Source organism: Homo sapiens, chromosome 5 (assembly GCF_000001405.40).
Source record: "Homo sapiens chromosome 5, GRCh38.p14 Primary Assembly".
In the NCBI taxonomy this organism is placed as follows: domain Eukaryota; kingdom Metazoa; phylum Chordata; class Mammalia; order Primates; family Hominidae; genus Homo; species Homo sapiens.
The window spans coordinates 132,326,034-132,348,935 of NC_000005.10; the positions used below are offsets into that span (position 1 = coordinate 132,326,034).

Consider the following 22,902-nt stretch of genomic DNA (forward strand, 5'->3'; position numbering starts at 1 on the left):
AGTGCAAAACTGTCCTGAGCTGCTACTCTCTGCCTGTGGGGCAGCCCTGCTCTGCAGGAGCAGTCACGGAGCTGTAACATTGCCTCTTCAATAAAGCTGTTTTCTTCCACCTCCAGTTTGCCCTTGAATTCTTTCCTGGGCAAAGCCAAGAACCCTCATGGGCCAAACCCCACTCTGGAGCTTGCCTGCCCTGCATCCCTACCAAATATCATAGCTCAGCCTGACCTACCTTAAACATGCTCAGAACACTTACATTAGCCTACAATTGGGCAAAATTTTCTAACACAAAACCTATTTTATAATTAAGTGTTGAATATTTCATGTAATTTATTAAATACTGTACTGAAAGTGAACAACAGAATGGCTGTATGTATGAGCACTCAAAGTAAGGTTTCTACTCAATGCATATCATTTTTCTCCTATAGTAGAAAAATCATAAGTCGAACCATCATAAGTTAGGGACCATCTGTACTGACAATAGGTAAGGAAAATGAGAGCTGACAGGAGAATGGCTAAAAGATTTTGAGAAATAAAAATTTAGAAAGAATAGAAGCCCTATTATTTGCAACTGTGTTTGAGCATCAGCTATAAATGGGAATAGACTATGTAATTTAAAACAATAAGCTTTTTTAGACATTAACAAAAAGACAACATTGGGGCTCATCTCCCAAAAGCTGGTTTGGGCACTCGCTGATCTGGGAATCTGTTGAAAGCCATGGGGGCCCCACACAGGCGGGTGTCAGTGCCCTCACTTTCTCTTTTGACTAAAGGAAACGATCAAGAACACAGGTGCCCTGGCCATCCTTTTCCCAATAAACTGTGAACATCACCAGCTGGGACACCAGCAATTCTCCTTAGGATGGACCCACTGCAAAGACAGTCTCTTCTCTAGGGGAACTTATAGTCTAGTAGCTATGTTTCTTTTATGAGCCACACTACCTATAAGTTTTGGATGAACTTCTCCAGAGCCCTGGCTCAAACATGCCCATAGTTAATGTCACCCCTTATGGTCTGGTCCTGGTCTCAAGCACAACTGATGATCGGTCTTATAATTTGATCAGAAGTTTGAAACTTGAAGGTGGTTTTATTTATTCCTATGCTCCAATAGAAATCTTATGTGGACTCCCTTTAAAAAGACAAACTAGAATTTTACAAAATTAAAACTATTTGGGGGAAACTCAGATTTAATAGTATCCAGCCCTGCTGTTGTGAAAAATTATTAAATATTAAAAATAAATTATAGGTTCATTCCTGAATCTCCCCGATGGCTGATATCCCAGAGAAGATTTAGAGAGGCTGAAGATATCATCCAAAAAGCTGCAAAAATGAACAACATAGCTGTACCAGCAGTGATATTTGATTCTGTGGAGGTAAGCATTTGCAGATGTTTCCTCTTGAGATCAGCTATGCATTCTTGATTTTATGGAATTTAACTTAATTCAATATTTGTTAAGTGCCCACTATGTACCAGGCATTGCACTAGGCCTTAGGAACACAATCATGATTAAATTCTAAGATAAAATCCACCTTAAAGGGCTGTTTATAAGAATTAAATGCAATAATATATGTAAACTGCTTAGCAAATAGCAAGCGTTCATTAAATATTAGTTTGCTTTATTTTGCAAGTTTATCATCAACTTTCTATTGGCATTGCTCCAAACCACTGACACAGCTATGTACTGATGATTTTTAAATGTCCAGATTAAGTGGAAAAATATGTTTCAGGGCTAGTCCACCCTGGGTTCTCCACTGTACCCTGAATCTTACCACAGACTGCTGAGGAAGCTATGCATGTCTTTAGTCTCACTCTGTGTCATGTCTAGAACCTTAAGGCCTGAAAGCACAGGCTTGAGGATTCACCCTTGAAAGCTGGTGGCCACAAGGAAAAGCTGATATTCTGTGGAAGCAGCCACACCTCCTGACAGTTCGTGAGGATATGCAGTGTGCCATGCCCTGTGCTGGCTCCTAGAGGAAATAAGAAAAGACACAGCCCAAATTCTAAAGGAACATAGAATGTAACTAAGATTGGCAAGAGGATTAGATAAAAAGATAAAGAATGGCATAAGGGAGGAAATGGTAAGTATCCAAGTAGAGACACTGTGTGCCAGCAATACAGAGAAAGATAGCAGGGTGGCCCATGGCTGGAGGCAGGTCCAAGCCAGGGAGGACAGCAGGACTCACTTAAATGAGTGGAGAGGATGGGGCAGGGCATTCCTGTCTAGGAGATAGGTAGGAGTCTGCTCAGGACACCTAAAAAAGACTGTGGTGGCTTCAGTAACATTATACATGCCCTGCACCAAAGCATGTAGTACAGAAAGCAGAACTCTGTAGAGGACGGTGGGCATGCCACTGCTCACCCCCACGGCTTCCCCAGTCCCTGGCCTTCAGGACCTTTTCCAGAAGCAGATACTCTGGCTATGGCTAGAGGCTTAGACTGGCCATGAACTCAAGCTCTCAGAGGGCTGCCAGGACAAAACATCCCTTAATCCTTTGCCCTTCAAATCAAGAAGTCCATTTCAAGTCTCAGTCAATTTAAATGGATAAAACAACAACAACAACAACAACAACAACATTGGGAGTGTCTAACACTTCTGCCCTTCAGGGCTGTGCTGGGGTGTTTATCGGTATTTATCAGCTAGGTGGCCTGATTCCTATCTGTGAAACTTAGAGTCTAGTTGTAGGGATCTACCTATGTGGATGACAGCAATCATAAAATAGATATGAGATATATAGTTATGGACAAATAAGAATATAGTTCAGTGTTAAAACACATGGTTCTGGCAGTGCCTTTATATATATATATATACACACACACACACACACACACACACACACGCATATATAAATGTGTATATATATGTGTGTATGTGTATATATATATATATATATATATATATACACACACACACTTTAAAAAAATTTTGAGTCTCACTGTTTTGCTCAGGCTAGAGTGCAGTGGTACAATTACAGCTCAATGTAGCCTCGACCTCGACCTTCTGGGCTCAAGCAATCCTCCCACCTCAACCTCCCAAGCTGGGACTACAGGCACTTGCCACCAAACCCAGCTAACATTTTGTATTTTTTTTTGTAGAGACAGGGTTTCACTATGTTGCCCAGGCTGGTCTCAAACTCCTGGGCTCAAGCAATCCTCCTACCTCAGCCTCCCATAATGCTAGGATTACAGATGTGAGCCATCATTCTCAGCCTGACAGTGCCTTCTTTCTTCCTGCCATGATGCACATCTAGCCTGAACTGGACAAACCCATTAAGGGAAAGGGGGCTTGCGCTTTCCTGAGGCCTGGTCATCTCCCCTGCTCACCTCCCGTAGGATCCTCTTTAGGAGGATCTGCAGAGCCCTGTGCCAGCAAATGCACCCTATTTAGAATGATATTGAAGAGCCTACCAAATGCCAGGCACTGTGTTCTGCTCATTGCTCATGCTTTTTTTTTTTTTCAAAAAAAGAAACTAAGGCACAGCGAAGTTAAGTAACTTGCCCAGGATCACACAGATGTTAAACTGGGATTTGTGACCTAGTTCTCCCAGGCACCAAAGTACATGCTCTTAACAACTGTGATTTTTCACTTCATGTTACAGGCAGTAGCATTAACTTGGATAGGAAAAGATATAGAGTAGAGTATTGTCTTAGAAAGCAATCTCAAGCATCCTTGGCTTCAGAAGAAGCACCTTCAACCTGCTTCTGGTACCTGATCCAAAGACATTTTGGTGGCTCCACCCAGGCCAGGGACAACCACTGGATACAAGCATATTCTTGTTCTGAGGTTTCCAATCCTGGCTGCTCATCACAATCACCCAAGTGCTTTAAGAATACAGATTCTCAGGCCTCTGTTTAAAAGAGTCGAAGTAGGCAAGCCCAGGGAGGAACCTGGCAACCTGCATTTAAGAAGGGCCCCGTGGAACCACCAAGTATTAGCACAGGACTGGTCCACAGGTCCTGTCTGTGTGCACCACCCTGGAACCCTCCAAGAAGATGTCTGGTTCCCACTAGTTTATGCAGTGGCTTTGCTTTGTTATAATACCAGGGTTATTCTGCTGGGGGCATGTTCTGGGGCTCTACAATCCAAATAGTGCAAGAGAGAAAAGGCAATGTGGCTGTGAGCTGTGTAAGTGTCTGATCATTCCTAGAAAAAAGGACACTCACATTTGGAGAGGACCTGCTGTGAAGGCAGGCCTGGCACTCCCACTTCTTCATAATAAAAACTCCTCCATCAGTCTCTTACTGCGCATGCACTGTAGGGCCACAAAGTCACAAAGTCCTGGTACTTCATCCCTGAGAGATTCCCCACCTCAGAGCCTAATAACTTTTATGTTAGTTTCAATTCTAATCAGCTTGGTTACCTTGATTCATAACTCATAGCAAGTTAATATCAGCAAATTAAAAGCAAAAGAATAGGCCGGGCGCAGTGGCTCACACCTGTAATCCCAGCACTTTGGGAAGCTGAGGTGGATGGATCACCTGAAGTCAGGAGTTTGAGACCAGCCTGGCCAATATGGCGAAACCCCATCTCTACTAAAAATACAAAAATTAGCCAGGTGTGGTGGCAGGTGCCTGTAATCCCAGCTACTCAGGAGGCTGAGGCAGGGGAATTGCTTGAACCTGGGAGGCGGAGGTTGCAGTGAGCTGAGATCGCGCCACTGTACTCCAGCCTGGGCAACAAGAGTGAAACTCCCTCTCAAAAAACAAACAAGAAAATAAATATAAATAAAAGTAAAAGAGTATAAACCCATTGATAGCAGTAAGGATTTGTCACTGACCGCTGATGGCTAGCCTCTTTTCCTCAATGATACAGTAATAATAATAATAGTTTAAATTTACTGGACATTTACCATGGTTCAAGCACTGTGCTAAGCTATATATATATGATCTCATTTAATCTCTCAACTCCCAATTAATATACCCATTTTATATAGCAGTAAGCTGAAGTTCAGAGAGGATCGTTACTTGCCCAAGGCCCGCCAGTAAACTGAAGTCTGTTCTGATGCTAAATGACTACAACAAGAGAAGTGTAAAAAGCAAGGCTGGGTAATCCCAGCACTTTGGGAGGCCAAAGTGGGCAGACTGCTTGAGGCCAGGAGTTTGAGACCAACCTGGCCAACATGGTGAAACCCAGTCTCTACAAAAAATGCAAAAATTAGCCAGATGCGGTGGTGCTCGCCTGTAATCCCAGCTACTCAGGAGGCTGAGAGGCAGGAGAATCGCTTGAACCTGGGAGGTGGAGGTTGCAGTGAGCTGAGATCACACCACTGCACTCCAGCCTGGGCCACAGAGCTAGACTCCATCTAAAAAAAACAAACAAATAAACAGAGAAGTGTAAAAAGCAGACGTGGCCTCAAGGAAGGGACTACATGGCCCTACCCTTCAATAGGCAGTCCTGAGGATCACAGATCAGTGTGGTAAATGACATCCATTCTCTGACTGTCAGTCAGAGAAAGGCTATGTTAGCCAACAGGCTTTGTCTAACGAGACAGGGAAGGGGGTGTTATATATTTAAAAGGCTTCTGTGTAAAATGGACTACAAACATTTTAAAGTGTCAGAGTAAGTGTCATATATGTAGATGCCCTATTGCCTCCAATCACCAGACTTCTAAGCATAGTCAAGGTGAAGTGAGAGTTGCATGCATAAGTTTTCCCCATGCATCATAGCCAAAGATACTTCCTTACTACCTCTTAATCTCATGGTTATTTGCATTATTTTGGTTACAGGAGCTAAATCCCCTGAAGCAGCAGAAAGCTTTCATTCTGGACCTGTTCAGGACTCGGAATATTGCCATAATGACCATTATGTCTTTGCTGCTATGGTAAGTAATAAGTGACCTGGAAATGCAGATATCCAGCACATAAGTATGCAACTGATTTTCTTAACTCAGAGGAACATTATGACAACGACTGGGTTTTCCTGAGGAAAAATTAAGATTATAAAATTCTAAATTATTTTGAAATGCCTCTATTCAGTTCATGGGACTAGATATTGAAAAATGTCACTGGGCGCAATGGCTTACGCCTGTAATTCCAGCACTTTGGGAGGCCAAGGTGGGCAGATCACCTGAGGTCAGGAGTTCGAGACGAATCTAGCCAACATGGTGAAACCCCGTCTCTACTAAAAATACAAAAATTACCTGGGCATGGTGGCACATACCTGTAATCCCAGCTACTTGGGAGGCTGAGGCAGGAGAATCACTTGAACCCAGGAGGTGGAGGTTCCAGTGAGCCTTGATCGCACTACTGTACTCCAGCCTGGGCAGCAGAGCAAGACTCCATCTAAAAAAAAAAAAGTCACAGGGTACAGTATTTAAGTCTGCAGTACTGGGACCCAAAGGGAAAGCATTCCCTTCCCCCTCCTAAAGTTATGGGATTGAGATCATTGATGTCCCTGGGTAATGGTTCCCTCCCCACCAAAAATTATGAGATTAAGACTAATGATGTCCGTGTTGCCTGAGGCAGAGATGCTAATTCAGCTCCTGCTTCCTGAAGCTGACCTGGCAATTGAACACTGAGGCTAGAATAACCTAGATCCCCATTGCCTGGATTGGAGCCTTGATCAGCTTTTTACACGTGCCAATAGCAAACTAACAAGTGGCTTTCAGGCGCAGAAATACTGAATTGGCTTTATAGATTAGATTTAATAATTTATCTGCCAAGAAAAAAGGAAAAAAGAAAATTCCTACTCTATGATGGCAGCACACACACACACACACACACACACACACACACACACGATGATCGTCAGAACTGGTAGATTTAGGCTGCAGCTAATCTAAGTTTATTTTTAAGGGCCATCCTACTTGGCAATTAGAAGAGATCAATGACAGAGCTTATGCGTCTGAATTAAGCAAGTGTGTCCTAGGTACATGGGCTTCTTAGTTCTTACATTTCAGCCTATATCCCTGATGCAAATGTTCTTGGGTAGTGGTGCTACTAAGCTAATAAAAAATTAGTCACTAGTTCTATCTAAACTACTCCTATTACTAAATGGGAAAATCACTAAGATCCCTTGAGCATACTTATTTGTTGTGTTTATGAATTAGTCCTTGTATTATCTAATTTGGGTCTAGTATGTGTAAAAAGATCCACTAGTGTTCCTGAAGTCATTTTTCAGATATCCTCTGCTTCTCAGTCATGTTAATAATAAGCAAATTTCTACACAGGGGTGTCTGCATAGTGCAGTTGTAACAAAAACTCAGGTTCAGTCACTCACAGCTTGCAGCGTCCAATTAACAAGAGCAAAGTCTGATGTAAGGAAAGTGACTTTTTATTCCAAAGCTAGCTTAGGGAGAAAGGTATCGGCTTCCTGCCTGAAGGGTACCACCGCTCCTCTTTTTGAAGCGGAAAGCAGGCACTTCTAAAAGGCAGGGGAGGACGCGAGCAGGTGAGGGATCAGAGGGCTAGCTTGCTGCCTTATCTACTGGGCAGTTGAGGTGGTGCCTTCATGGGCAGAAACAGGTTGTATAGGTGGCCAAAAACTCTAGCAGGCATACTTTGAGTTGGAAATTGACTGATATCGCTTGAGGAAATCTGGGCGGTGAGAGTTCCACTCTGGAGCTTCTAAGCACATAGTTAGATGAATTTGCCCTGCAGGGAGTGTCCAGTGAAGAGGAGGTTAAAAGGCTATAATTGCACTTCTAAAGAGCTAAGTAGAAAGTGCAGAAAAGGAGGAAAGAGAAAAGAAGAGAGAGAGAAAATAAACTATCTCTTAGAAAAATGGGGGTACTCAGTTACATAGTTATTTTTCCACAGAGAAGCTTCTTTTTTTTATTTATGTTTTTATTTTTTTGAGATAGAGTTTCGCTCTGTCACCCAGCCTGGAGTGCAATGGTGCGATCTCAGCTCACTGCAACCTTCGCCTCCTGGGTTCAAGCAATTCTCCTGTCTCAGCCTCCCAAGTAGCTGGGATTATAGGCACATGCCACCACCATGCCTGGCTAATTTTTGTCTTTTAAGTAGAGACGGGGTTTCACCATGTTGGCCAGGCTGGTCTCAAACTCCTGACCTCAGGTGATTTGCCTGCCTCGGTCTCCCAAAGTGCTGGGATTTCAGGCATGAGCCACCACGCATGGCCCACAGAGAAGCTTCTACATGGAAGTTAACTATAATGACAGAATATACAGACTGCAGTCTGTGATACTTTGAAGGATTAGGGGACATTCACTCTTTTCCCTAAAGAGAATCAGAATTTATTCTAAGTGAATCCCACAGTATGACCCTTGTATCTCTTTTTTGTTAAAGAATGAAATCTGGATTTTATGTTCACTGATGTGACTAATATTTTTTCTTCATATAATAGCTCTAAGAGATTGAGGAGGTACAAACTATTCAGGAAATAGGAAAACTTGAAATCAACTAGCTGAGAAAAGTTATTGTTGAATATTGGTATATCTAGACTAGCACTGTCCAATAGAACTTTCTGCAGTGACGGAAATGTTTCATATCTATGTCGTTCAATATAGTAGCCACTAGCTACACGTGGCTATTGAGCACTTGAAGTGTGGCTAGTGTAACTAAGGAACTGAATTTGTAATCTTATTTAATTTTAATTTATTCAAATTTAAGTAGCCAATGAGGGTAGTGGCTACTTATAAGACAGCAAGATATAGAGAATTTCTTGACCATCATAAAATTTTAGAGCGATTCACACCATCCCTTTGTCATTTTTACCTTCTTCTTTCAGGATGCTGACCTCAGTGGGTTACTTTGCTCTGTCTCTGGATGCTCCTAATTTACATGGAGATGCCTACCTGAACTGTTTCCTCTCTGCCTTGATTGAAATTCCAGCTTACATTACAGCCTGGCTGCTATTGCGAACCCTGCCCAGGCGTTATATCATAGCTGCAGTACTGTTCTGGGGAGGAGGTGTGCTTCTCTTCATTCAACTGGTACCTGTGGGTAAGAAGTTAACCAAGATGAACAGCTTACCAGAAAAGACCCACATATTGACTAGGCTGCTTCTGAGTCACTGCTCCATGTTTATTCAGCCTTTACATCATAAGCCATTCATAAGTCAATTAGACAGGTGATTGCTCACTACGTATGTTGTTTCCTGTGTTCAAAACAACTACCCCAAACAGAAGAGACAGTCTCAGAGAAGCAGAAAGCACCAAAGAGGAAGAGTAACTCTCCCAGTCATCCCCTTCACAGAAAGACTCACCTAACATCTCCCTTTAACTCATAGTCATGATTCCTAATTTCTGGCTACTCTCAAACATTTTCCCTGGGTGTATATTCAAGTATTACAGTGAGTAGGACATGTCGGTTCCAGGATACATTCAGTGGTTTTCTGGTCTGAATCTTTAAGTAGTTAAATAGCACACAAAAGGATATATGCTTCCCTTTTCCCCTTGTGTCTGACGTTCTCATAATATTAAAATGTCACTAAATTATTGATAGTAATAGAAATACATATTTCTTAATAATAAGAAAGAGGATAGAAAGGATTGGTCCTCCTCTTTGAAGATAAAACTTAACTATATTAACATGCTAATAGCTTACCCATGAAACTGTTTTAACAAACAAAAGACAAGTGGACAAAGGTCACTGAATGCATTAATGACCTAGAATAACAGTAGAACAAAGTACAAAGCCACCCCTCACATGAGCTCCATCTTTGTCCATGCCCAAATATTAGGACATTTGAAGAGAAAATGCTATTTTGGGAATATATTTATGTTAATAAAAGTACTCCCACTGAAGCAAAAAGGACAATAAAAATAACTGATATAAGAAAGTATCACTTCTAAAAGCACCATTGTTTATACCGGGTCTCTTTTCCAGATTATTACTTCTTATCCATTGGTCTGGTCATGCTGGGAAAATTTGGGATCACCTCTGCTTTCTCCATGCTGTATGTCTTCACTGCTGAGCTCTACCCAACCCTGGTCAGGAACATGGCGGTGGGGGTCACATCCACGGCCTCCAGAGTGGGCAGCATCATTGCCCCCTACTTTGTTTACCTCGGTGAGCTGCATCTTGTGCATTTGTTCTTCCTTTAAATTAGTTTTCAATGTAAAAGTAAGATTTTCATTGTGAAAATGTCAAATAGCATAGAATGTACTGGAAAAAAGTACAAGTTCACCTCTCCTCTCCCAGGAGGAGCTCTAGAAAGCCAATCACAAACTGGTGAGTAGCGCTACAGACATTTTGTTTTGCACAACATCATGTACACAGGTATGTATATAATTTTTTAAACACACAAGCAACTCAGGCGTGGTGGCTCATGCATGTAATCCCAGCACTTTGGGAGGCCAAGGTAGGTGGATCACCTGAGGCCAGGAGTTCAAGACCAGCCTGGCCAGCATGGTGAAACCCTGTCTCTACTAAAAATAAAAAAATTAGCCAGGTGTGCTGGCAGGTGCCTGTAATCCCGGCTACTCTGGAGGCTGAGGTAGGAGAATTGCTTGAACCCAGGAGGCAGAGGCTGCAGTGAGTCAAGATTGCACCACTGCACTCCAACCTGGGCAACAAGAGCAAAACTCTGTCTCAAAAATAAATAAAAATAATAAAAAATAAAAAGAATAAACACACAAATAACATTATATATGTTAAAACTTTTTAAACTTAACATTGTATCAGAATATCCTTCCAAATAGTTACATATTGCTCCTTTACCTTCTTTTTAAATAGGTACCTCCTTTTAAAAATGTATATAAGTACATTTTAAAATAAGTATATGTAAGTATAATCTACAGATAGATTCACAGAAGTAAAATTCCTGGAGCAAAGAGTGCCGTTAAAAAATTATATATATATGTGTGTGTGTACATAATGTTGTGCAAAACAAAATGTCTGTAGGGCTACTCACCAAACAGTTCATGTTGGTTTTCTAGGGATCCTCCTGGGAGAGGGGAGGTGAACTTGTACTTTTTTCCAGTACATTCCATGCCATTTGAAGTTTTCACAATGAAAATCTTACTTTTATACTGAAACACATAATTTATTTAACCAGGCTCCAATGAATGGAGGACATGTAGGTCATTTCCAGGTTTTTGCTATTACAAATAACATTACAACGAACATTCTCCTATGCTCCTACACCCTTTGTGAATTTACTTACGTATATTTGGATTTACAGGTAGATTCATAGAAGTAAAATTCCTGGAGCAAAGAGAGCCATTAAAAAATTTCATAGATATTCCCAAATTGAACTCTACATATTGTGCCAATTATAATCTAATTATTAATAGGTAAGAGTGGTTTTCAATAATCTCACCAACAATAAAGATTACCTTTTTTTTTTTTTTTTTTTTTTTCTGAGACAGGGTCTCACTCTGGAGTGTAGTGGTGCGATCCTAGATTCCCAGCTCACTGCAGCCTCAATCCCCCAGGCTCAAGAGATCCTCCCACCTCAGACTCCCAACTAGCTGGAACTACAGGCATGCACACCGTCAAGCCCAGCTAATTTTTTTTTTTTTCTGGTAGAGACGGGATTTTGCCAGTTTGCCCAGGCTGGTTTCGAACTCCTGGGCTCAAGTGATCCACCCGCCTCAACCTCCCAAAGTGCTGGGATTACAGGTTTGAGCCACAGCACCTGGCCTACCTAATTTTTTAATCATTGGTTATCTGTTATGTGAAAAATGGATATCATTGTTACTTTCATTCCTATTTATTAATTATGAATGAGGTTGAGCATGTTTTTGTGTATTTTTTGGCCATTTTATTTATTTTTCAGTGAACTGACTGCTCATGTTCTTTGCCCCTTTTTTTTTTTTTGGAGATGGAGTCTCACTCTGTCACCCAGGCTGGAGTACAGTGGCGCAATCTCAGCTCACTGCAACCTCCGCCGCCTGGGTTCAATCAATTCTCCTGCCTCAACCTCCTGAGTTGCTGGGACTACAGGCGCATGCCACCATGTCCGGCTAATTTTTTTTTTTTTTGTATTTTTAGTAGAGATGGGGTTTCATCATATTGGTCAGGCTGGTCTCAAACCCCTGACCTCAGGTGATCCACCTGCCTTGGCCTCCCAAAGTGCTGGGATAACAGACATGAGCCACTGTGCCTGGCCTTCTTTGCCCATTCTTTAATGGTGTATATCGGGCAAAATTCAGCCCTGATAATTCACATAGGTTCTTTTCTATTTTCCCTAAGTGCCAGCTGGTCTGAGAAATAAAGGGACAGAGTACAAAAGAGAGAAATTTTAAAGCTAGGTGTCCGGGGGAGACATCACATATTGGCAGGTTCCATGATGCCCCCTGAGCCATAAAACCAGCAAGTTTTTATTAGTGATTTCAAAAGGGGAGGGAGTGTACGAATAGGGTGTAGGTCACAGAGATCACGTGCTTCACAAGGTAATAGAATATCACAAGGCAAATGGAGGCAGGGTGAGATCACAGGACCACAGGACCGGGGCAAAATTAAAATTGCTAATGAAGTTTTGGGCACGCATTGTCATTGATAACATCTTATCAGGAAACAGGGTTTGAGAGCAGACAACCGGTCTGACCAAAATTTATTAGGTGGGAATTTCCTCATCCTAACAAGCCTGGGAGTGCTACGGGAGACTGGGGCTTATTTCATCCCTACAGCTACAACCGTAAAAGACAGCTGCCCCCAAAGTGGCCATTTTAGAGGCCTACCCTCAGGGACGAATTGTCTTTCTCAGGGATGTTCCTTGCTGAGAAAAAGAATTCAGCGATATTTCTCCCATTTACTTTTGAAAGAAGAGAAATATGGCTCTGTTCTGCCCGACTCACCAGCGGTCAGAGTTTAAGGTTATCTCTCTTGTTCCCTGAACATTGCTGTTATCCTGTTCTTTTTTCAAGGTGCCCAGATTTCGTATTGTTCAAACACACATGCTCTACAAACAATTTGTGCAGTTAACGCAATCATCACAGGGTCCTGAGGCGACATACATCCTCCTCAGCTTATGAAGATGACGGGATTAAGAGATTAAAGACAGGCATAGGAAATCACAAGGGTGTTGATTGGGGAAGTGATAAGTGTCCATGAAATCTTCACAATTTATGTTCAGAGATTGCAGTAAAGACAGGCGTAAGAAATTATAAAAGTATTAATTTGGGGAACTAATAAATGTCCATGAAATCTTCACAATCCACATTCTTCTGCCATGGCTTCAGCCAGTCCCTCCTTTCGGGGTCCCTAACTTCCTGCAACAGGTGTATTCATCTTTTTCTTTTTGACTTGTGCAAACTCTTTGCAATGGAAGAAATTAGCCCCTTGTATATATGTTGTAAATATTTTTCCTAGTTTACCATTTGTATTTTCACTTTATGATATCTTTGTAATGAAGACAATTTTAGTTTTTATATACTCAAAGGTGTCAATCTGAAATGAAACTACAGAGGTGTTTCAGCGGCATGTTCAATCTGATGTAGGATCTGACACCCCATGCCTGGTCCTCATTAAGGACTCTACTGGTGAGAAATGCAGACACACCTCATCAATTGGGCAATTGGTTACCTACTGGTACACACGTACACACACACACACACACACACACACACCTGAAAACATGTATGAATTCTCAGGAAAGGTATAATCCAAACCCTTACAGAGAAAGAGAAACATTTTCCTAACAAACATATTCTGCACAGTTGCCCTGTGCCACACCTGAGATAGCAGATTATACAGAGTGGTGTTATTTTTCCCTTTGTCCTTCCCTGTACTTTCAAACTATTTCAAACTATGCTCAGATGGTCCAGTGGTCAGACACTGGTACATAAGACAGGGAGTCCAAGAGTCTCCTACTCCACACAGCTACTCCTGTTAGTGACACAGAGGCCTCAGAGAAGCTGCAATAACAATATTTTCCTTATGTTTTGGGTCAAATGAAATCCATGGGTGTGCTGTTCCTCTGTAAGCTCTGTATGTATACAGGGGCAAAGCAAGATGAGGATCTGTTTTTCTCCTGTGTGAGTAAAGCTTCACAAAGAGATTACATATTAACCCAAGACATGTAAGTGCTCCAAAAAGAAGCCAAATCCAGGCACACAGTGCCTTTACAGAATGTGCCTGATACTTATAATTTACTGATTTAATCTGAAGTGAACATAATACTTAGTTGTTTTTTTTTTTTTTTTTTTTTTTTTTGAGTCTCATAGCCCTGTGGACCTAACTTTCCACTGCAGCCTACTAGTTTGGGCAAAAGCAGAGTCATGCCAGACCTATCATAGCCAAAACCTATCCCTGAAACATCCTGGTTAACCTCCTTCTCCTTGATGTCCTCCCATCCCCCATTTCCAATTACCTCCACCTTAAGAGGAGAACTCTGGTAGGCAAAGAACTCTACCAAAGGAACATCTGTCACACATGACTGAGTAGTAGCTTAGAGGATACCAGTTGACAGGAAAGAATGAAAAGCCTTATGATAATGCAAAAGGATTATAGACATGCACAATGTCATCTGCCAAAAAGAAACTGATATTTTGCTTACTTTTTTTTCTCTGAAAATGTTCAGATTTAAATCCATTCTCTTATACTGTTCACCAACTTCACAAAATGATGCTCAAGAGTGCCCAGAGAGTCCTCCTATCTGATTGATGTTCTTATGTCCCGGGCTTTACAGGTGCTTACAACAGAATGCTGCCCTACATCGTCATGGGTAGTCTGACTGTCCTGATTGGAATCCTCACCCTTTTTTTCCCTGAAAGTTTGGGAATGACTCTTCCAGAAACCTTAGAGCAGATGCAGAAAGTGAAATGGTAAGTAGGACTTTTAACAAAATGATACCAAAATGCCTTAGGGAGAATAAGCATGGAAGAATAGCTAGGAAGGTTCTGAAATAGAAGAGTAATAAGTAGAGACTAGCTCTATCAGATAATAAAGCATATTGTTGGCTGGGCACAGTGGCTCACGCCTGTAATCCCAGCACTTTGGGAGGCTGAGGCAGGTGGATCACCTGAGGTCAGGAATTTGAGACCAGCCTGGCCAACATAGTGAAACCTCATCTTTACTAAAAATACAAAAAATTAGCTGGGTGTGGTGGCAGTCACATGTAATCCCAGCTACTCAGGAGGCTGAGGCAGGAGAACTGCTTGACCCAGGAGGCAGAGGTTGCAGTGAGCTGAGATCACACCACTGCACTCCAGCCTGGGCAACAAGAGCAAAACTCCGTCTCAAAAAAAATAAATAAATAATAGGCCAGGCGCGGTGGCACATGCCTGTAATCCCAACACTTTGGGAGGCTGAGGCAGGCGGATCATGAGGTCAAGAGATCGAGACCATCCTGGCCAACATGGTGAAACCCTGTCTCTACTAAAAATACAAAAATTAGCTGGGCATGGTGGCACACACCTGTAGTCCCAGCTACTCAGGAGGCTGAGGTAGGAGAATTGCTTGAACCCGGGAGGTGGAGGTTGCAGTGAGCCAACATCATGCCACCGCACTCCAGACTGGGCAACAGAGCTAGACTCTGTCTCAAAAATAATAATAATAGTAATAAAGCATATTGTTGAGCAATAGTAATTAAAACAATGTGATAATGGTATAGGAATAGAAACCAATGGAATAGGATAGAGTTCAGGATAAAACCCAAGAAAATATAAAAATTCAGTATGTAATAAAAAGTAGCAAAGTCAAGGGGGAATAGTTATTCAGTAAAAGGTATTAGAACATTCAGCTAGACATTTTGAATAAATTAAAAAGTTGTCTCTTTAAAAAATGCATTGGCTGGGCATGGTGGCTCACACCTGTAATCCCAGCACTTAGGGAGATTGAGGCAGGCAGATTGCTTGAGGTCAGGAGTTCGAGAACAGTCTGTCCAACATGGTGAAACCCCATCTCTACTAAAAATACAAAAATTAGCCAGGCATGGTGGCGCACCCCTGTAATCCCAGCTCGCGGGAGGCTGAGGCAGGAGAATCGCTTGAACCAGGGTGGTGGATGTTGCAGTGAGCCGAAATCGCGCCACTACACTCCAGTCTGCGTGACAGAGCGAGACTCCGTCTCCAAAAAAAAAACACATCAAGATAAAATCCAGACAGTTAAAAAATTTAGGCCTAAAAATGTAAAATCATAAATATACCAGGAGGAAACAAACATTTTTATAACCTTAGAGAAGATCTTACTGAGCATAACATAAAATCAAAGAACCATAAAGGAACAGATTGATATATCTGATTGTACATTTTTTAAATTATTGGCAAGGCAAAAAGAAACCACCCACAAAGACAAAAGTCAATAAGCCAGGAGAAAATATTTGCTACACAAAACCTAAACATAAGGCTAATATACTTAATATACAAAAAGCTCATAGTAACCAGTGAGAAAAAGACAAACAATTCAGTAGGAAAACCAGCAAAGGACAAGAACAGACAGTTTACAGAAGAAGTCACTTCAGTGTCCAATATATACATGAAAAAAGTTATTTGTCCACATTAATAAGGAAATGCAAAAATAAAACAATTCAACATCTTTTTTTGGCTTATGAGATTGCGCAAGGGTTTTTCTTCTTGACGCAAACCAATTCTGACACCTATTGAGTGTCCTATAATGCAGTTCAATTTTGACAATACCTAAATTTAGCATCAGACTCCACAGGTGTAAAGACTCAGTCCCACAATACTGCCTTGCTTCACTTGCCACTCACAAATGTCAGGTCCCCAGGTTACCCACATTTCTCTCTGACTTTGCTACCAAGTCTGGGGTTCCAACAAATCCCCTCCTTGGGTTTGATTATTTGCTAGAATGACTCACAGCACTCAGAACACTGGCCACTAGCGGTTTCTTACAAAGGATACAAATGAACAGCCAGATGAAGAGGTACATACAGAGAGGTCTGGAAGGGTCCTGAGTGCAGAGGTTCTGTCCCTACGGAGTTAAGGTGCACTGCCCTCCTGGCATGTGGATGTGGTCACCAACTCGGAAGTTCTCCAAACCCCATCATTTAGAGGTTTTCATGGAGGTTTAGTCATGTTGGCATGATGGATTATTAAGTCTATCCCCAGCCTCTCTCCTCTCCCCAGAGGTTCCAGGCTTCTAATCCAGGCTTAGTCTTCTGGTGACCAGCCCCCACCCTGAAGCTATCTAAGGGCCCAGCCAAGGGTTGCCTCATTAGAACAAAAGAAGCTTTTATCACTCCCTATCACTCCAGAAATTATAAGAGATTTAGGATCTCTATGTTAGGAGCCAGGGACAAAGACCAGTATCTTTTTATGACACCACAGCAAACATTTAAAAGATTAGTGGTATTTAGGAGAAGTTTAGAGTTTCGAGTAACACTGCCTGGCTTTAAATCCCAAATCTACTGCAAAAATTTGGGCATATCACTTAATATTCACTAAGCTTCAGTATTCCCATCTGCTATATGGGATATTTCATACGGCTATTTTGAGGTTATAAAAGATAAAGTGTTCCCAGTGCCTGGCCTTGATAAAGGTAACTCTGCATATGAATTAATTCTGATCCCTGACAGAACATTTATAGCAAAAAGTGCCCATTGTTGATAAGTTGTTTTCTTCTAATGATAGAACTACTTCAGTATCAACTTTAATTGCCAAGAATTTCATGCCTCCCTCTCTATCCTTTGCTTGGGAAAACTGTGAAAGAGTTTAAATTCTGGCTTCTATGCTTAATTAAGAAAGTAGCCTCAGATGTTTAAAAGCATAAAATATTAGATCTACACCATGAGGTTCTCATTAGAGTTCAAATAGTTACTTGTTCATTGATTGGAGAAATATTTTTCAATGTCAATTTGGATGGAGCATTTTGAGGAGGAAAGTCTTGAATATTTAATTTTCCTTAGCATCTATTTTATTTTCAGGTTCAGATCTGGGAAAAAAACAAGAGACTCAATGGAGACAGAAGAAAATCCCAAGGTTCTAATAACTGCATTCTGAAAAAATATCTACCCCATTTGGTGAAGTGAAAAACAGAAAAATAAGACCCTGTGGAGAAATTCGTTGTTCCCACTGAAATGGACTGACTGTAACGATTGACACCAAAATGAACCTTGCTATCAAGAAATGCTCGTCATACAGTAAACTCTGGATGATTCTTCCAGATAATGTCCTTGCTTTACAAACCAACCATTTCTAGAGAGTCTCCTTACTCATTAATTCAATGAAATGGATTGGTAAGATGTCTTGAAAACATGTTAGTCAAGGACTGGTAAAATACATATAAAGATTAACACTCATTTCCAATCATACAAATACTATCCAAATAAAAATAACATCATTGTATTAACGCAAATATTAGGTGACAACAATGTGTGTGTATGTGTGTGTGTTTGTACATGTGGAAGTGAACCAGCACAGTCAAAATTATAGTAGTTTCTGAAGTGAACCAAATGATTATATGCAGTATTCCTATCCAGAAAACCTTCCACACTCCTTTGAGAGGGAGTGATCACTGTTAGAGGAAAAAACAAACCACTTTTTACCCTGTACTGTCACACTCAACCCACAATACTTCTGTGACCAGATGTGGTGGGGGGCTTCTCATACACCAAGTAATTCTCCAGCAGATACCAATGGGGTGTTCTCTAATAGAATTAAGCTCTGACCCTATCTGCGGGGAGATAGTGTCAGATCCCACAGGTTGTGTGCTCTGTCCCTCTTCAGATGCCATTCGAACATCCAAGCCACACGCACCTCTGACCTACCAACTACAAACCAGGGTTTCCACAGACCCCTTCTTAGGTTCAATTAATTTTCTAGAAAGGCTCACCAAATTCAGCTAAACCTTTACATTTGCCAATTTATTATAAAGGATACAGATGAACAGCCAGATGAAGCAGCATGAAGGGCTAGGTCTGGAAAGATTCCAAGTGCAAGAGCTTCTGTCCCAGTGAAACTGGGGTGCAGTGCCCTCCCAGCTTGTGGACGCATTTACTGGAAGCTCCTCAAATCTTGTTGTTCAAGAGTTTTTAGGCAGCTTGATCTCCAGCACCTTCCCCACCCAGAGATCAGTGGGTAGAGCTAAAAGTTCCAACCCTCTAATCCTCAAATGACCTGGTCTTTCCGGGAACTAGCCCCATCCTAAGAATATCTAGGGCCCCACATTAAGTAACCTCATTAGCATAAACTCAGGAGTTATCGAATCAAAGGGGCTCATTATCACTAATGAGATATTCCTACCACTCAGGAAGTTCTAAAGGTTTGGGGAACTCTATGACAAGAACTGAGACAAAGACCAGGTATCCATATTTCATATTAAACCACAATGGTAGATATTAATTGTATTTTAGCCTGGCTCATCTGGCCAATCTGCCTGCAAGAAGGCAGCAAGGCAGCTCCTAGCTACAGTTTCAGCAGCTACACCTCACAGCCCTTACACCATTAAATGCTCCCCATTTGTTGTGCTTTTGTTGAGCACGTGACTAAACCTCCTGTTTCCTAAAAATGGCTTAAGATATATTTTGCCGGTAGATACAAAATCAGAAAAACTGCACAAACCAGTTAGATTGGTAGAGGTGGTTTATGTGCCCCATAGCCAAGAGAGGTGTGCACCAAGGAGGATATCATCAAATCTGACAATCTGGAAAGCCTTTGAAACTGTTCTTTTCCTAAGCACAGTATTCAGCTGTGTCCTCTTGAACCCATATCTATCAGGTCAACAGCTTTAGCCCATTCCACATGATATTGGCTGTGGGTTTGTCATATATAGCTCTTATTATTTTGAGAAACGTTCTATCAATACCTAGTTTATTGAGAGTTTTTAGCATGAAGGGCTTTTGAATTTTGTCGACGGCCTTTTCTGCATCTATTGAGATAATCAAGCGGTTTTTGTCATTGGTTCTGTTTCTGTGATGGATTATGTTTATTGATTTGCATATGTTGAAACAGCCTTGCATCCCAGGGATGAAGCCCACTTGATCGTGGTGGAGAAGCTTTTTGATGTGCTACTGGATTCGGTTTGCCAGTATTTTATTGAGGATTTTTGCATCGATGTTCATCAGGGATATTGGTATAAAATTCTCTTTTTTTTTTTTTTTTTGAGACGGAGTCTCGCTCTGTCGCCCAGGCCGGACTGCGGACTGCAGTGGCGCAATCTCGGCTCACTGCAAGCTCTGCTTCCCGGGTTCACGCCATTCTCCTGCCTCAGCCTCCCGAGTAGCTGGGACTACAGGCGCCCGCCACCGCGCCCGGCTAATTTTTTTGTATTTTTAGTAGAGACGGGGTTTCACCTTGTTAGCCAGGATGGTCTCGATCTCCTGACCTCATGATCCACCCGCCTCGGCCTCCCAAAGTGCTGGGATTACAGGCGTGAGCCACCGCGCCCGGCCTCTCTTTTTTTTGTTGTGTCTCTGCCAGGCTTTGGTATCAGGATGATGCTGGCCTCATAAAATGAATTAGGGAGGATTCCCTCTTTTCTATTGCTAGGAATAGTTTCAGAAAGAATGGTACCAGCTCCTCTGTACCTCTGGTAGAATTTGGCTGTGAATCTGTCTGGTCCTGGACTGTTTTTGGTTGGTGGGCTATTAACTACTGCCTCAATTTCAGAGCCTGTTATTGGTCTAATCAGAGATTCAACTTCTTCCTGGTTTAGTCTTGGGAGGCTGTATGTGTCCAGGAATTTATCCATTTCTTCTAGATTTTCTAGTTTATTTGTGTAGAGGTGTTTATAGTATTCTCTGATGGTAGTTTGTATTTCTGTGGGATTGGTGGTGACATCCCCTTTATCACTTTTTATACCATCGATTTGATTCTTCTCTCTTTTCTTCTTTATTAGTCTTGCTAACAGTCTATCAATTTTGTTGATCTTTTCAAAAAACGAGCTCCTGGATTCGTTGATTTTTTTGAAGTTTTTGTGTCTCTATCTCTTTCAGTTCTGCTCTGATCTTAGTTATTTCTTGCCTTCTGCTAGCTTTTGAATTTGTTTGCTCTTGCTTCTCTAGTTCTTTTAATTATGATGTTAGGGTGTTGATTTTGATCTTTCCTGCTTTCTCTTGTGGGTATTTAGTGCTATAAATTTCCCTATATACCGTGCTTTAAGTGTGTTCCAGAGATTCTGGCACGTTGTGTCTTTGCTCTCATTGTTTTCAAAGAACGTCTTTATTTCTGCCTTCATTTCGTTATTTACCCAGTAGTCATTCAGGAGCAGATTGTTCAGTTTCCATGCAGTTGTGCAGTTTTGAGTGAGTTTCTTAATCCTGAGTTCTAATTTGATTGCACTGTGGTCTGAGACACAGTTTGTTGTGATTTCTGTTCCTTTACATGTGCTAAGGAGTGCTTTACTTCCAACTATGTGGTCAATTTTGGAATAAGTGTGATGTGGTGCTGAGAAGAATGTATACTCTCTTCATTTGGGGTGGAGAGGTCTGTAGATGTCTATTAAGTCTGCTTGGTGCAGATCTGAGTTCAAGTCCTGGATATCCTTGTTAACCTTCTGTCTCATTGATCTGTCTAATATTGACAGTGGGGTGTTAAAGTCTCCCATTATTATTGTGTGGGAGTCTAAGTTTCTTTGTAGGTCTCTAAGGACTTGTTTTATGAATCTGGGTGTTCCTGTATTGGGTGCATATATATTTAGGATAGTTAGCTCTTCTTGTTGAATTGATCCCTTTACCATTATGTAATGGCCTTCTTTGTCCCGTTTGATCTTTGTTGGTTTAAAGTCTGTTTAATCAGAGACTAGGATTGCAACCCCTGCTTTTTTCTGCTTTCCATTTGCTTGGTAGATCTTCCTCCATCCCTTTATTTTGAGCCTATGTGTGTCTCTGCACGTGAGATGGGTCTCCTGAATACAGGACACGGATGGGTCTTGACTCTTTATCCAATTTGCCAGTCTGTGTCTTTTAATTGGGGCATTTAGCCCATTTACATTTAAGGTTAATATTGTTATGTGTGAATTTGATCCTGTCATTATGATGTTAGCTGGTTATTTTGCTTGTTAGTTCATGCAGTTTCTTCATAGCATCGATGGTCTTTACAATTTGGCATATTTTTGCAGTGGCTGGTACCGGTTTTTCCTTTCCATGTTTAGTGCTTCCTTCAGGAGCTCTTTTAGGGCAGGCCTGGTGGTGACAAAATCTCTCAGCATTTGCTTGTCTGGAAAGGATTTTATTCTTCACTTATGAAGCTTAGTTTGGCTGGATATGAAATTCTGGGTTGAAAATTCTTTTCTTTAAGAATGTTGAATATTGGCCCCCACTCTCTTCGGGCTTGTAGGGTTTCTGCCGAGAGATCCGCTGTTAGTCTGATGGGCTTCCCTTTGTGCGTAACCCGACCTTTCTCTCTGGCTGCGCTTAACATTTTTTCCTTCATTTCAACCTTGGTGAATCTGCCAATTATGTGTCTTGGGTTTGCTCTTCTTGAGGAGTATCTTTGTGGCATTCTCTGTATATCCTGAATTTGAATGTTGGCCTGCTTTGCTAAGTTGGGGAAGTTCTCCTTGATAATATCCTGAGGAGTGTTTTCCAACTTGGTTCCATTCTCCCTGTCATTTTCAGGTACACCAATCAAACGTAGATTTGGTCTTTCACATAGTCCCATATTTCTTGGAGGCTTTGTTCGTTCCCTTTTACTCTTTTTTCTCTAATCTTCTTGAGTTATTTCATTAATTTGATCTTCAATCACTGATATCCTTTCTTGATCGAATCGGCTATTGAAGCTTGTGCATGTGTCACAAAGTTCTCGTGCCATGGTTTTCAGCTCCATCAGGTCATTTAAGGTCTTCTCTACACTGTTTATTCTAGTTAGCCATTCGTCTAATCTATTTTCAAGGTTTTTAGCTTCCTTGCGATGGGTTAGAACATCCTCCTTTAGCTGGGAGAAGTTTATTATTACTGACCTTCTGAAGTCCACTTCTGTCAGCTCGTCAAAGTCATTCTCCACCCAGCTTTGTTCCATTGCTGGCAAGGAGTTGTGATCCTTTGGAGGAGAAGAGGTGCTCTGGTTTTTAGAATTTTCAGCTTTTCTGCTCTGGTTTCTCCCCATCTTTGTGGTTTTATCTACCTTTGGTCTTTGATGTTGGTAACTTACAGATGGGGTTTT

The 22,902-nt window shown here is 41.5% G+C and overlaps 1 protein-coding gene and 1 long non-coding RNA gene across 6 annotated transcripts in view, besides 1 other annotated feature; one reads left to right on the top strand and one right to left on the bottom strand.

Annotated features, from left to right (window-relative positions):
- Positions 1-18,157, top strand: part of SLC22A4 (solute carrier family 22 member 4) — a 49,797-nt gene extending 31,640 nt beyond the window's left edge. For 4 of the 5 annotated variants that reach the window (NM_003059.3, XM_006714675.5, XM_011543589.3 and 1 more), the window contains 6 exons: positions 1,244-1,370; positions 5,723-5,817; positions 8,685-8,899; positions 9,785-9,967; positions 14,532-14,667; positions 17,727-18,157. In NM_003059.3, the coding sequence (NP_003050.2) occupies positions 1,244-1,370; positions 5,723-5,817; positions 8,685-8,899; positions 9,785-9,967; positions 14,532-14,667; positions 17,727-17,802 (832 nt within the window). In that variant the 3' untranslated portion in view covers positions 17,803-18,157. Of the gene's footprint in view, positions 1-1,243; positions 1,371-5,722; positions 5,818-8,684; positions 9,027-9,784; positions 9,968-14,531; positions 14,668-17,726 lie in introns of those variants that run through there. The other variant, XM_047417594.1, reaches the window with a different exon arrangement.
- The window catches only part of MIR3936HG (MIR3936 host gene), a 58,641-nt gene that overhangs the window by 14,758 nt on the left and 20,981 nt on the right, over positions 1-22,902 (bottom strand). The window contains exons 6-7 of the long non-coding RNA NR_110997.1: positions 8,752-8,893; positions 6,156-6,277 (exon numbers count right to left, since the gene is read on the bottom strand). This is a non-coding gene — a long non-coding RNA (MIR3936 host gene). The remainder of the gene's footprint in view (positions 1-6,155; positions 6,278-8,751; positions 8,894-22,902) is intronic.
- Positions 19,803-19,975: a silencer, noted in NCBI's record as "fragment chr5:131681529-131681701 (GRCh37/hg19 assembly coordinates)". NCBI's record gives its function as "represses an EF-1alpha promoter that drives an FKBP-Casp9 reporter gene in an ReSE screen in K562 erythroleukemia cells {active_cell/tissue: K562}" and the evidence as "EXISTENCE:reporter gene assay evidence [ECO:0000049][PMID:32094911]".